General features: G+C 39.6%; 1 protein-coding gene across 1 annotated transcript in view; it reads right to left on the bottom strand.

Annotated features, from left to right (window-relative positions):
• Positions 7130–12761, bottom strand: part of LEPR (leptin receptor) — a 220908-nt gene continuing 215276 nt past the window's right edge. The window contains exon 20 of the mRNA NM_002303.6: positions 7130–12498. Within this exon, the coding sequence (NP_002294.2) occupies positions 11674–12498 (825 nt within the window). The 3' untranslated portion in view covers positions 7130–11673. The remainder of the gene's footprint in view (positions 12499–12761) is intronic.

Here is a 12761-nt window from a genome sequence, read left to right as displayed (position 1 = left end):
CATGCACCCCTGAACTTAAAATAAAAGTTAAAAGAAAAAGAAAAAAAAATCAAAATGAAGTATTGAGACAAAAAACTGTAGGAAAAAGAGACATGTGGACCTAGGCCAAAATACTTACCATGTATGAAACTGATAGTTCCAGAAGGAGAGGATAAATAAAATGAGACAAAATTGATGAAGAAATAATGGCTGAGGATTTTCCAAATCTAATGAAAATTCTCTATCCACAGATAGAAGACTCTCAAGGAGTATGAATCATGATAAGTAAAAAGAAAACCACACCTAGGCATATAATAGTCAAACTGCTGAAAAGCAAAGATAAGGAGAAAAGTCTTAAATGCCAACAAAAATACACAATAAAAGACATATTACCTTAAGGGAAACAAAACAATGGCTAACTTTTCAACAGTAATAATAGAAGCCAGAAGGCAATAAAATGGCAACTTACAATGAAGAAAAATAACTGTCAACTTCGAATTCTATAGTCACTAAATATATCTGTAAGAAAACGAAGGTGAAATTATGATCCCAAAGTCTGAAAGAATTTGTCACTGTTGATTTACAGTACAAGAAATACTGAAAGAAATTCTTTAGGATGAAAAAATATTATCCAAGCAGGAAAAACAGAGATGCAAGAAGAAACAAACAGCACTGTGTCAGGCCTCTGAGCCCAAGCCAAGCCATCGCATCCCCTGTGACTTGCACATATATGCCCAGATGGCCTGAAGTAACTGAAGAATCACAAAATAAGTGAAAAGGTCCTGCCCCGCCTTAACTGATGACATTCCACCATTGTGATTTGTTCTTGCCCCACCTTAACTGAGTGATTAACCCTGTGAATTTCCTTCTCCTGGCTCAGAAGCTCCCCAACTGAGGACCTTGTGACCCCCGCCCCTGCCCACCAGAGAACAACCCCCTTTGACTGTAATTTTCCTTTACCTAACCAAATCCTATAAAACGGCCCCACCCGTATCTCCCTTCGCTGACTCTCTTTTCAGACTCAGCCCGCCTGCACCCAGGTGAAATAAACAGCCATGTTGCTCACAGAAAGCCTGTTTGGTGGTCTCTTCACATGGACGCGCATGAAATTTGGTGCCGTGACTCGGATTGGGGGACCTCCCTTGGGAGATCAATCCCCTGTCCTCCTGCTCTTTGCTCCATGAGAAAGATCCACCTACGACCTCAGGTTCTCAGACGGACCAGCCCAAGAAACATCTCACCAATTTCAAATACGGTAAGCGACCTCTTTTTACTCTCTTCTCCAACCTCCCTCACTATCCCTCAACCTCTTTCTCCTTTCAATCTTGGCGCCACACTTCAATCTCTCCCTTCTCTTAATTTCAATTCCTTTCATTTTCCAGTAGAGACAAAGGAGATATGTTTTATCCGTGGACCCAAAACTCCGGCGCCGGTCACGGACTGGGAAGGCAGCCTTCCCTTGGTGTTTAATCATTGCAGGGACGCCTCTCTGATTATTCACCCACGTTTCAAAGGTGTCAGAACATGCAGGGACGCCTGCCTTGGTCCTTCACCCTTAGCGGCAAGTCTCGCTTTTCTGGGGAAGGTGCAAGTACCCCAACCCCTTCTCTCCTTGTCTCTACCCCTTCTCTGCTTTTCTGGGGAAGGGGCAAGTACCCCAACCCCTTCTCTCCTTGTCTCTACCCCTTCTCTGCTTTTCTGGGGAAGGGGCAAGTAACCCAACCCCTTCTCTCCTTGTCTCTACCCCTTCTCTGCTTTTCTGGGGGAGGGGCAAGTACCCCTCAACCCCTTCTCCTTCACCCTTAGCGGCAAGTTCTGCTTTCCTGGGGCAGGGGCAAGTACCCCTCAACCCTTTCTCCTTCACTCTTAGCGGCAAGTCCCGCTTTTCTGGGAGAGGTACAAGTACCCTCAACCTCTTCTCTTTCACCCTTAGCGGCAAGTCCCGCTTTTCTGGGGGAGGGGCAAGTACCCCTCAACCCCTTCTCCTTCACTCTTAGTGGCAAGTCCCGCTTTTCTAGAGGAGGGGCAAGTACCCCAACCTCGTATCTCTGCACCCCAATCCCTTATTTCCGTGCCCCAACCTCTTATATCTCTACACCCCAATCCCTTATTTCCTTGCCCCGACCCCTTATTTCCGTGCCCTGACCCCTTATTTCCATGCCCCTACCCCTTATTTCCGTACCCCAACCCCTTATTTCTGCGCCCCATCCCTTATTTCCATGCCCCGACCTCTTATCTCTGCGCCCCAACCCCTTTTCCCACTTTTCTGGAAGGTAAGAACCCCCGAACCCCTTCCCTCCGTTTCTCTACTCTCTCTTTTCTCTAGGCTTGCTTGCTTCCTTCACTATAGGCAACCTTCCACCCTCCATTCCTCCTTCTACTCCCTTGGCCTGTGTTCTCAAAAACTTAAAACCTCTTCAACTCACACCTGACCTAAAACCTAAATGCCTTATTTTCTTCTGCAATGTCGCTTGACCCCAATACAAACTCGACAGTAGTTCCAAATAGCCAGAAAATGGCACTTTGAATTTTTCCATCCTGCAAGATCTAAATAATTCTTGTCGTAAAATAGGCAAACGGTCTGAGGTGCCTGACGTCCAGGCATTCTTTTACACGTCAGTCCCTATCTAGTCTCTGTGCCCAGTGCAACTCGTCCCAAATCTTCCTTCTTTCCCTCCCACCTGTCCCCTCAGTACCAACCCCAAGCATCACTGAGTCTTTCTAATCTTCCTTTTCTACAGACCCATCTGACCTCTCCCTTCCTCCCCAGGCTCCTCGCCAGGCTCCTCGCCAGGCCAAGCTAGGTCCCAATTCTTCCTCAGCCTCTGCTCCTCCACCCTATAATCTTTTTATCACCTCCCCTCCTCACACCTGGTCTGGCTTACAGTTTCGTTCCGTGACTAGCCCTCCCACTCCTGCCCAGCAATTTACTCTTAAAAAGGTGGCTGGAGCTAAAGGCATGGTCAAGGTTAATGCTCCTTTTTCTTTATCCCAAATCAGATAGCGTTTAGGCTCTTTTTCATCAAATATAAAAATCCAGCCCAGTTCATGACTTGTTTGGCAGCAACCCTGAGACACTTTACAGCCCTAGACCCTAAAAGGTCTAAAGGCCGTCTTATTCTCAAAATACATTTTATTACCCAATCTGCTCCCGACATTAAATAAAATTTCAAAAATTAAATTCCAGCCCTCAAACCCCACAACAGGAGTTAATTAACCTTGCCTTCAAGGTGTACAATAATAGAAAAAGTTGCAATTCCTTGCCTCCACTGTGAGACAAACCCCAGCCACATCTCCAGCACACAAGAACTTCCAAACACCTGAACCGCAGCAGCCAGGCTTTCCTCCAAAACCTCCTCCCATAGGAGCTTGCTACATGTGCCGGAAATCTGGCCACTGGGCCAAGGAATGCCCGCAGCCCAGGATTCCTCCTAAGCCGCGTCCCATCTGTGTGGGACCCCACTGAAAATCGGACTGTTCAACTCACCTGGCAGCCACTCCCAGAGCCCCTGGAACTCTGGCCCAAGGCTCTCTGACTGACTCCTTCCCAGATCTTCTCGGCTTAGCGGCTGAAGACTGACACTGCCCGATCGCCTCGGAAGCCCCCTGGACCATCACGGATGCCAAGCTTCCGTAACTCTCACAGTGGAAGGTAAGCCCGTCCCCTTCTTAATCAATATGGAGGCTACCCACTCCACATTACCTTCTTTTCAAGGGCCTGTTTCCCTTGCCTCCATAACTGTTGTGGGTATTGACGGCCAGGCTTCTAAACCTCTTAAAACTCCCCAGCTCTGGTGCCAACTTAGACAATACTCTTTTAAGCACTCCTTTTAGTTATCCCCACCTGCCCAGTTCCCTTATTAGGCTGAGACACTTTAACTAAATTATCTGCTTCCCTGACTATTCCTGCACTACAGCTGTATCTCATTGCCGCCCTTCTTCCCAATCCAAAGCCTCCTTTGCGTCCTCCTCTTGTATCCCCCACCTTAACCCACAAGTATAAGATACCTCTACTCCCTCCTTGGCGACCGATCATGCACCCCTTACCATTTCATTAAAACCTAATCACCCTTACCCCACTCAATGCCAATATCCCATCCTGCAGCACGCTTTAAAAAGATTAAAGCCTGTTATCACTTGCCTGCTACAGCATGGCCTTTTAAAGCCTATAAACTCTCCTTACAATTCCCCCATTTTACCTGTCCTAAAACCAGACAAGGCTTACAAGTTAGTTCAGGATCTGCGCCTTATCAACCAAATTGTTTTGCCTATCCACCCCATGGTGCCAAACCCATATACTCTCCTATCCTCAATACCTCCCTCTACTACCCATTATTCTGTTCTGGATCTCGAACATGCTTTCTTTACTATTCCTTTGCACCCTTCATCCCAGCCTCTCTTTGCCTTCACTTAGACTGACCCTGACACCCATTAGGCTCAGCAAATTACCTGGGCTGTACTGCCGCAAGGCTTCACAGACAGCCCCCATTACTTCAATCAAGCCCAAATTTCATCCTCATCTGTTAGTCATACTCCTATTCACCATTCTCAACTACTCATACATGCCCTGCTCTTGTTTACACTGCCGGTTTACACTGTTTCTCCAAGCCATCACAGCTGATATCTCCTGGTGCTATCCCCAAACTGCCACTCTAAACTCTTGAAGTAAATAAATAATCTTTGCTGGCAGGACTATGCTGAATCTCCTTAGGCACTCTCTAATCAGATATCCTGAGTCGTCCCAATTCTTAGACCTTTTATACCTGTTTTTCTCCTTCTGTTACTCCATTTAGTTTCTCAATTCATCCAAAACGGTATCCAGGCCATCACCAATCATTCTATACGACAAATGTTTCTTCTAACATCCCCACAATATCACCCCTTACCACAAGACTTCCCTTCAGCTTAATCTCTCCCACTCTAGGTTCCCATGCCGCCTCTAATCCCCCTTGAAGCAGCCCTGAGAAACATCACCCATTCTCTCTCCATATCACCCCCCAAAAATTTTTGCCACCCCAACACTTCAACACTATTTTGTTTTACTTTTCTTATTAATATAAGAAGGCAGGAATGTCAGGCTTCTGAGCCCAAGCCAAGCCATCGCATCCCCTGTGACTTGCACGTATATGCCCAGATGGCCTGAAGTAACTGAAGAATCACAAAAGAAGTGAAAAGGTCCTGCCCCGCCTTAACTGATGATATTCCACCATTGTGATTTGTTCCTGCCCCACGTTAACTGAGTGATTAACCCTGTGAATTTCCTTCTCCTGGCTCAGAAGCTCCCCAGCTGAGCACCTTGTGACCCCCGCCCCTGCCCACCAGAGAACAACCCCCTTTGACTGTAATTTTCCTTTACCTACCCAAATCCTATAAAACGGCCCCACCCGTATCTCCCTTCGCTGACTCTCTTTTCAGACTCAGCCCGCCTGCACCCAGGTGAAATAAACAGCCTTGTTGCTCACACAAAGCCTGTTTGGTGGTCTCTTCACACGGACGCGCATGAAACACTGCAAGGATCAAATTTGAAAGACTGTTGATTATATAAAGCTACAATAAAATAATGCTTCTGATGTTTATAAAATATACAGAAATAAGATATATGACAAAAGTAGCCAAAAATGGCAGGAGAGGAATTAATTAAATGTTACTCAAAATTATTACATATTAGAGAAATGCAAGTTAAAAGCACAAGTAAGCATTATGCAACCATCAGAATGGCTAAAATTTTAAAGGTTGTCAATATCAATGTTGATCATGATATGATATATGGAGCAACTGGAACTGTCCTATGTTGCTGATGGCAGCATAAATTTATTCAACCATTACTTGGACGTATCTGTTAAAGCAAAACAAAATCCTAACCTATGACCCAGCAGTATTACTCCTAGGTATATACTCAGGAGGAAATGTGTAAAAATTCATTAAACTATATACCGAAGGCTTGTGCATTTTACGGTACATATCTCAAGAAAAACTTAAGAACACAAATGTAAAATGAATGATAAGAAATCAAAAATCCTAATAGAAAAATAGGCAAAAGAAAATAACATGAATATAAAAAGTAGAGGAAAACAGATGCTTATAAACATATGAAAATACGCTCCATTTCATTCATCAAGTTACAATTAAAATACCAAAATGATACTGAAGCCAATTTGAGTTCATTTACCACATTTGCAACCAAAATTCCTGACAAGTAGTTTTACAAAAGCATGACAAGACATAATTACGTATGAGAATGATCACTTCAGTATTGCTCATAATAGTAAAAAAGATTGGAGAGTTTCTAAATATTCACCAATTGTGAACTGTTAAATTATTGTATTTTGGCAAAATGGAATACTATGCAACTATTAAAATTAATGAAGTAGCTATGTTTGAATTTATATAGAAATATCGCTAAGATACAGGAAAAGGGTAATTTCATAATATTAAGCAGAATAATATCCTAACTGTGTACATGCTTTTAAAATGGTAAAATAATAACAGGGTTATTTTAGGGAATAGGAACGGAAGATTGGGAGTGGAAAGAGACCATCACTTTTTATTTTATATTTCTCAGTACTATTCGAAAGGTTTTCTGTGTGCATTTGTTTTAATTACACTTTAAGATTAAAAAGCAAGAAAAAGAGATATATGTCTGAATACAAGCTCAAGTAGTGACAAAACACAAATTGCTAGAAAGCCTAAGTGATAAAACATATGTTCATAAATCACTATAAATCAAGATTTCTTAGAGAACTAAAGACTCAAACTACAAGACCTAAAGACTCAAACTAAAGAGCTCTTAAAGATTGAAACGAGTATCTTTCTTGATGATTAAAATGAGTAATCTTTCATCACAAGCGGCTATAATGCCAGCAAGAATCTGGTGTGGGATGATCTATTGAGACATTACCAAAGAGAGTAACAGTAAAGGGAGGTCCTGGGAACTAAAATGTTTTCAAACCCCTTACAAATGCTAAGCATATGTCTTTCGGAATTTTGAAGACACAACGACAGGCTAACAATGGATAAACATTTTGTATTAACTGTTTGTATAAACCACAAGGATTACTTCTTTATATTTTCAAATGTTAGCTGAAATAATATCATTATTTTATTTACCATACAACAGATATAATCCTAAAGTAACTTAAACTCATAATAATTCTTTTTGGACTTTTATTTCTCAAAATTAACACTGCTTATAATTCATAATGATAAAAAGATAAATATACTGTCATAAAGTACACTGCTTTCTCTGTGACTTTGGGAACATAAAGGAGAAGTAGACAAATTTCATAGAACAGTTAGTGATGCATATCTTGGCACTTACGTTTATAACATTTATTAAAATACCAGTTGTGACTAAAGAGAAAGTATTAACCACATGCCAAACACTTAATGACAGGTTTTAAAAGTACAATATCTACAATATAGATATCTCACTACAAAATTAAATGTCTTCCAAATTCAGTCTCAGTTCCAGGTTTTTTTAGTAAATATGTCAGAAAGCCTCATAAAATTGAATTTAATGCCATACATCTTAAGCATAATTAATTTTGAAAAAGACATTTTCAGCAGCTTTCCAAAATAAATATTGATAAACTTTATAGAAAAATAATTCATTCACTATAAAACCTCATGAAGGGCTAGGCGCGGCAGCTCTCACACCTGTAATCCCAGAACTTTGGGAGGCCAATGAGGGCGGATCACTTGAGGTCAGGAGTTCAAGACCAGCCTGGCCAACAGGGCAAAACCCCATCTCTACTAAAAATCCAAAATAAATAAATAAATAAATAAAAGCTGGGCATGGTGGTGTGCCCGTAATCCCAGCTACTGGGGAGGCTGAGGCAGGAGAATCGCTTGAACCTGGGAAGCAGGGGTTGCAGTGAGCCGAGATCACATCACTGCACTCCAGCTGGGCAACAGAGCAAGACTTCCTAAAAAAAAAAAAAAAAAAGCCATGGAAATCATCTCCTAATGTTTATACAAATACATGTAACAACAATATCCCAGTTCTCATACAGGCTGAATATGTAACAATATCCCAGTTCTCATACAGGCTGATCATGTTTTAAGTTGTTCGCCTAACATTGTGATTAGATGCAGGTGTGCTTTACTGTTTTAAACTGGTTAAGAAAGAGTAAAATTACCTACTTATGTAGCTTCCTTTTATAAATACTTCTTCACATTTCTTGGTAACTATGTTTAAATTTTTTCTTGAATGCTGCTTCTTTCAGTCATAGTAGAGTGGACAACTATAATTTTGTGACTTAAAATTTAAGAATGGGCTTTCTCAATAATAAATAGCTGAGAAAGGTTTGTTAAGGTAACTATCAAGATGACCCTTGAAAGATGAAAAGTGAAACAAATTTCTTTTAAGGTCACAGAAAATAATTTAGCAAGAGATCTTTTTTCATCCACATCTAAGTGAGATGGAACTTTGTGGTTGCAGTATGTCTTGATCCATCAGCATATTGTCCAACTCCGCCTGTGAGCCCTGTATGCATAATTCTCAACTCTTACAGCCTAAAGTTTATTTTCTTTCAGTTTTGGAGGAGGTAATATAAATATTCCTGAAGTAATGTGACCATATATATGATATTATGGAAGAGAGAATAAGTTTTATTAGGGAAAAATGAGAAGTAGAAGAATGACATGCCTAAGGTTATAAAACCTTATTCTAAATCCAGAATCTCACACTGGTATTGGAATTTCATCCAAGTCCTTTTACCATTTGGTGACTAGGTTTAAAAAGAAAAAAAAAACTGCTCCTATTTTTCTTGTCAACTTGTAGCTCATCTCTAAATGGACACAGAGATCCAACAGAAGGTGCCTATTCATAGTGACATGTACGTCAACTTTTTCATTGTTCTTGGGGGTTTAAGTTAGAAATCCTGTAATCCTGCAAACCCTGACATATGATTTCTCTTCAAACAATCTATTTAAACTTGAAGCCACAGCACAAATTATTAATTTCTGAGTTGCTTTCAATGAAGGTCAGATTTAGAAAGACTGATTAGTAGCTTGTGTTTCGGTTTAAGGCCTTAAAATGAAATATTAAAAATTCCAGATTTATAAGTTTAAAAGACCATAGCCCCTATTTCAGCTCCTCCTTCCTTTTAAATTTTTTTTATAGAAGCTGTGGGAAGAAATGGGAAGTTCCTGACCATTCTGAGGCATAAAACATTCTAAATTTTTTCTAAATTATGTGAAAATCCAGTATTTCATGGCAGGTAGTTTTCACAAGGTCCCAATAAAATGTAATGATACATAGTGAAATAAACTTTCAAAAGTGGAAATCAGAATTCAAGCCCATTGACAATAAATATGATCTAAGTCTATACATACCAATAGGCCAAACTATACTTGTTCAGCACTGTCCATGAAATAGTGCCTTGGAATTTCAATATTTCTGAAGTGCATTTTTGTTCATTTGTTCACTTATCTGGGGAACTGAGGCTGAACCAAGATGGTATCAATGATCTCAGGTTAATGTGCTGTCACTACATTTCTTTACACAGACCTACAGCACTACAGTGGTCCTGGGACTGTTGAATTCACTCAAGTAAGATACATACATCCTTGGGCTGATGAAAACATCTATCAGTTTCTCTTTCCTGTTATTCTGGGTCCCAGATCACAGGAGAATACTGTGTCTCAGCGGACATGCTCAGAGGTCAGTCTTCAATTTCAGAGTGGGGCAAAATTTATTTTTCTATCTCTTCTGTACTGTACCTTCAATTAAATACCAATAATCTATAAGCATGTATTTAAAATGTCAATTTTACTAAAATTTTTATACATGTAATAATTTATCTGTTTCTGTGTCTCTAAAGCCATGTAAAATTATCCATGAAAAAAACGCTTCTCCATTTATCTTTGCATAGAACTAAGGCTCTCGTACCACATCAAGTAATGAGTTGCTATCAGCCCTTTACCTATTTCTTGTAAGGGGGTCATTAGTTGAGTATGTGAGATCCTGAGACATCTTAAAAATACTTATGACATGGAATAACTTTATTGATTCCTGAGTGGAAATTGATTATAAAGTGTGAAAAATATCTATCAAGTGGGGTCTGGAATCTTTGTCATTGTTTAGAACTGCTCACTTCATAGCCACAACTGGACTAGAGATGGAATGTAGAGATTTATTTAGGATAACAGTAAAATTGGGAGTCTCTTGTCTCGGTCTAAATATGAAATTCTGATAATTTTTAAAAACCCATAGGCATATTTTTGAACACTAAAGTACTTATTTTGATGATACTGATATTCTTGAAGGTCTTCTTGCCACTGAACATCCAAATGTGCAGGTTTCTTAATTTAGTTTGTTGCCCAATATGCTGTCTTTGAATTTTTTTACCGTACCAAAAGTTGAATAAATAATAAACTTATGTATTAATCTTAAGTTGTTAAAGGCAAACATGAGATCTGTGCAATTCTCACTTAATTTCTCATCCAGCATTATACTTCTACTTAATACATTTTATAATCTTTATTTTTTCTGTCACACTCAGCTAATTTTTGTGTTTTTTGTAGAGACGAGGCCTCACTATGTTGCCCCGGCTAGTTTCAAGACTTCTGAGCTCAAGCGATCCACCCGCCTCAGCCTCCCAAAGTGCTGGGATTACAGGCATGCACCACTGTGCCAGCCTCTACTTAATAAATTTTGATTACAAGTCAGTTTTTTTAAATTGATGGCTATGTAGGGTATAGGTTAAAAACATAATCATTAGCATTAAAAAATCTGGATTTAAATCTGAACTCTGATTCCATCACCCACTGACTGTAACTGTGGGCAAATTATTTACTGTCTTCATCTTTAAGGAGTATCATAGTAACAGATGTCTCATACAATTATTTCAATAATTAACTGGGTTAAGGTATGTAAAGTACTGCACAGTGGTTGGTTTATGTAGACAGAATGCTCAGTGAGGGGAAAAAATAGGATATGTCCAGGTGGGGATGGGGGAAGACAATTATTCCGGAGAGATATACAGTGACATTTGGCAATCTAACTTTATCAGAAAGTGACCACTTCAACATCTTTCAGAGAGAAGAATTAAAACTGACATTATGTTTTCAAAAGTGCTTGTGTTGTCATCAAAATACTGATTGTGGGCATCACCATTCTTGCAGGTTATTTCATTCTATGGTACATATCTTAGATTTGGTACATAACAATTGGCTCATTAGTCTTCACAAGTATAACCCCTTAGGCCAGGGCTGAATTCTGTTTATCTTAAACATTTAGGAAAGTCCTACTTCAAATCCTACAGTCTGATAGCACAAAATATAAATACATAATATACTCTCAAAACACACAAGGACATGTGTTAAGAATGTGTGTGTGTGTGTGTGTTGGTACAAAACAAAAACTTGAGGTAAAACAACACGCCCTCTGAAAAAACAATTACATCTCACAAAAGATGGTGTCTGTTGGGCTTATTTCTAGCTGGAAACAAGGGACCTTCCCACTAGAGCTTGGGAATAAAATAGAAGAGCGTGTCTACATTGGTAGGCTTATGAAGGCTTTCTCAAATTTTTTGTCTATGTTACTAAGAGAGAACAAACAGACAACATTCATTTGGAACAATTATTTTCAAATTTGACTCTGGTTTCTTTTCTCTCTCCCACCCACAACTATAATCTATTACACTTTATATTACCCATTATAACACAAATCTGAAGGTTTCTTCAGTGAAATTACACAGTTAGGTCACACATCTTGTTTTCCATGATCTTATGAGTCTGAGTAGAACAAGTTTGGAATTGAGGCATGTAAGATGCAAAAGTCTTCTTACTAGAAGTTCCTAAGTTGATATTATTTTCTACAAAGTGTGAGCAACTGTCCTGGAGAACTCTGATGTCCGTGAATAAACAGGGGGCTGGGAATGGGCACGATACCCTTGACTTGTCAGTCAAAAGCACACCACTCTCTCTCTTTTTGATTGAGGTGACCCCTAAATAATAGATAGACTTTTTATCATTATTTTCTTCAGGGAAATTTCCCTCCAATTTCAAAAGTTCATCCAATCCTTCTGAGAATGTGAGGTGTGGTGAAATTATGTTGGGATGCTGATCTGATAATATAAAAAATGCCTGGGCCTCTATCTCCCATGAGCTATTAGAGAAAGAATCCTTCAACGGAGAATTTTTGCTAGAGAAGCACTTGGTGACTGAACTATTTATAAGCCCTTGTTCTTCACCAGTTTCACTTGGTTTAGAGTTGCTGATCAGCGTGGCGTATTTAACAAAGGGTTGTCTCTGGCTTTCGTCCTCATAGGTTACCTCAGTACCCTCAGCCTCAGAGAAGTTAACACTGTTGAACTGGTCACTAATACAAACAGAACCCTTTTCAAGATCTGTTGTTGAAAGTAGAGAGACCACAGTTGTTGGCATCATCTCATCTTTATTTTTCCATGATGTATCAACACTGATATCTTCTGAAATTGTTTCAGGCTCCAAAAGAAGAGGACCACATGTCACTGATGCTGTATGCTTGATAAAAAGATGCTCAAACGTTTCTGGCTAAAAGAAAAGACACATTTTAAGGCTCAATTATGTTAAAAAATTTTGCTTCATTATGTCATACTGGCAGAAATGGAAGTGTGTTAAGTTAATAATAAAGAACATAAGTCAACCACAAATTAACTAGTTTTTGACTAAAATACATATATCAAAAAGCATAAGGAAGAGCCCGTTTAAGATGATAGCATTTGAAAGTGGGACAAGACAGACTTAGACTTGAGTTCTTCCAATTCTACAACCATGAACAAGTACACTAACCTCTC

This window comes from Homo sapiens, chromosome 1 (assembly GCF_000001405.40).
Source record: "Homo sapiens chromosome 1, GRCh38.p14 Primary Assembly".
Classification (NCBI taxonomy): domain Eukaryota; kingdom Metazoa; phylum Chordata; class Mammalia; order Primates; family Hominidae; genus Homo; species Homo sapiens.
Note: the sequence above shows the minus strand (reverse complement) of the source record. Positions and strands in the feature narration are given on the sequence as shown.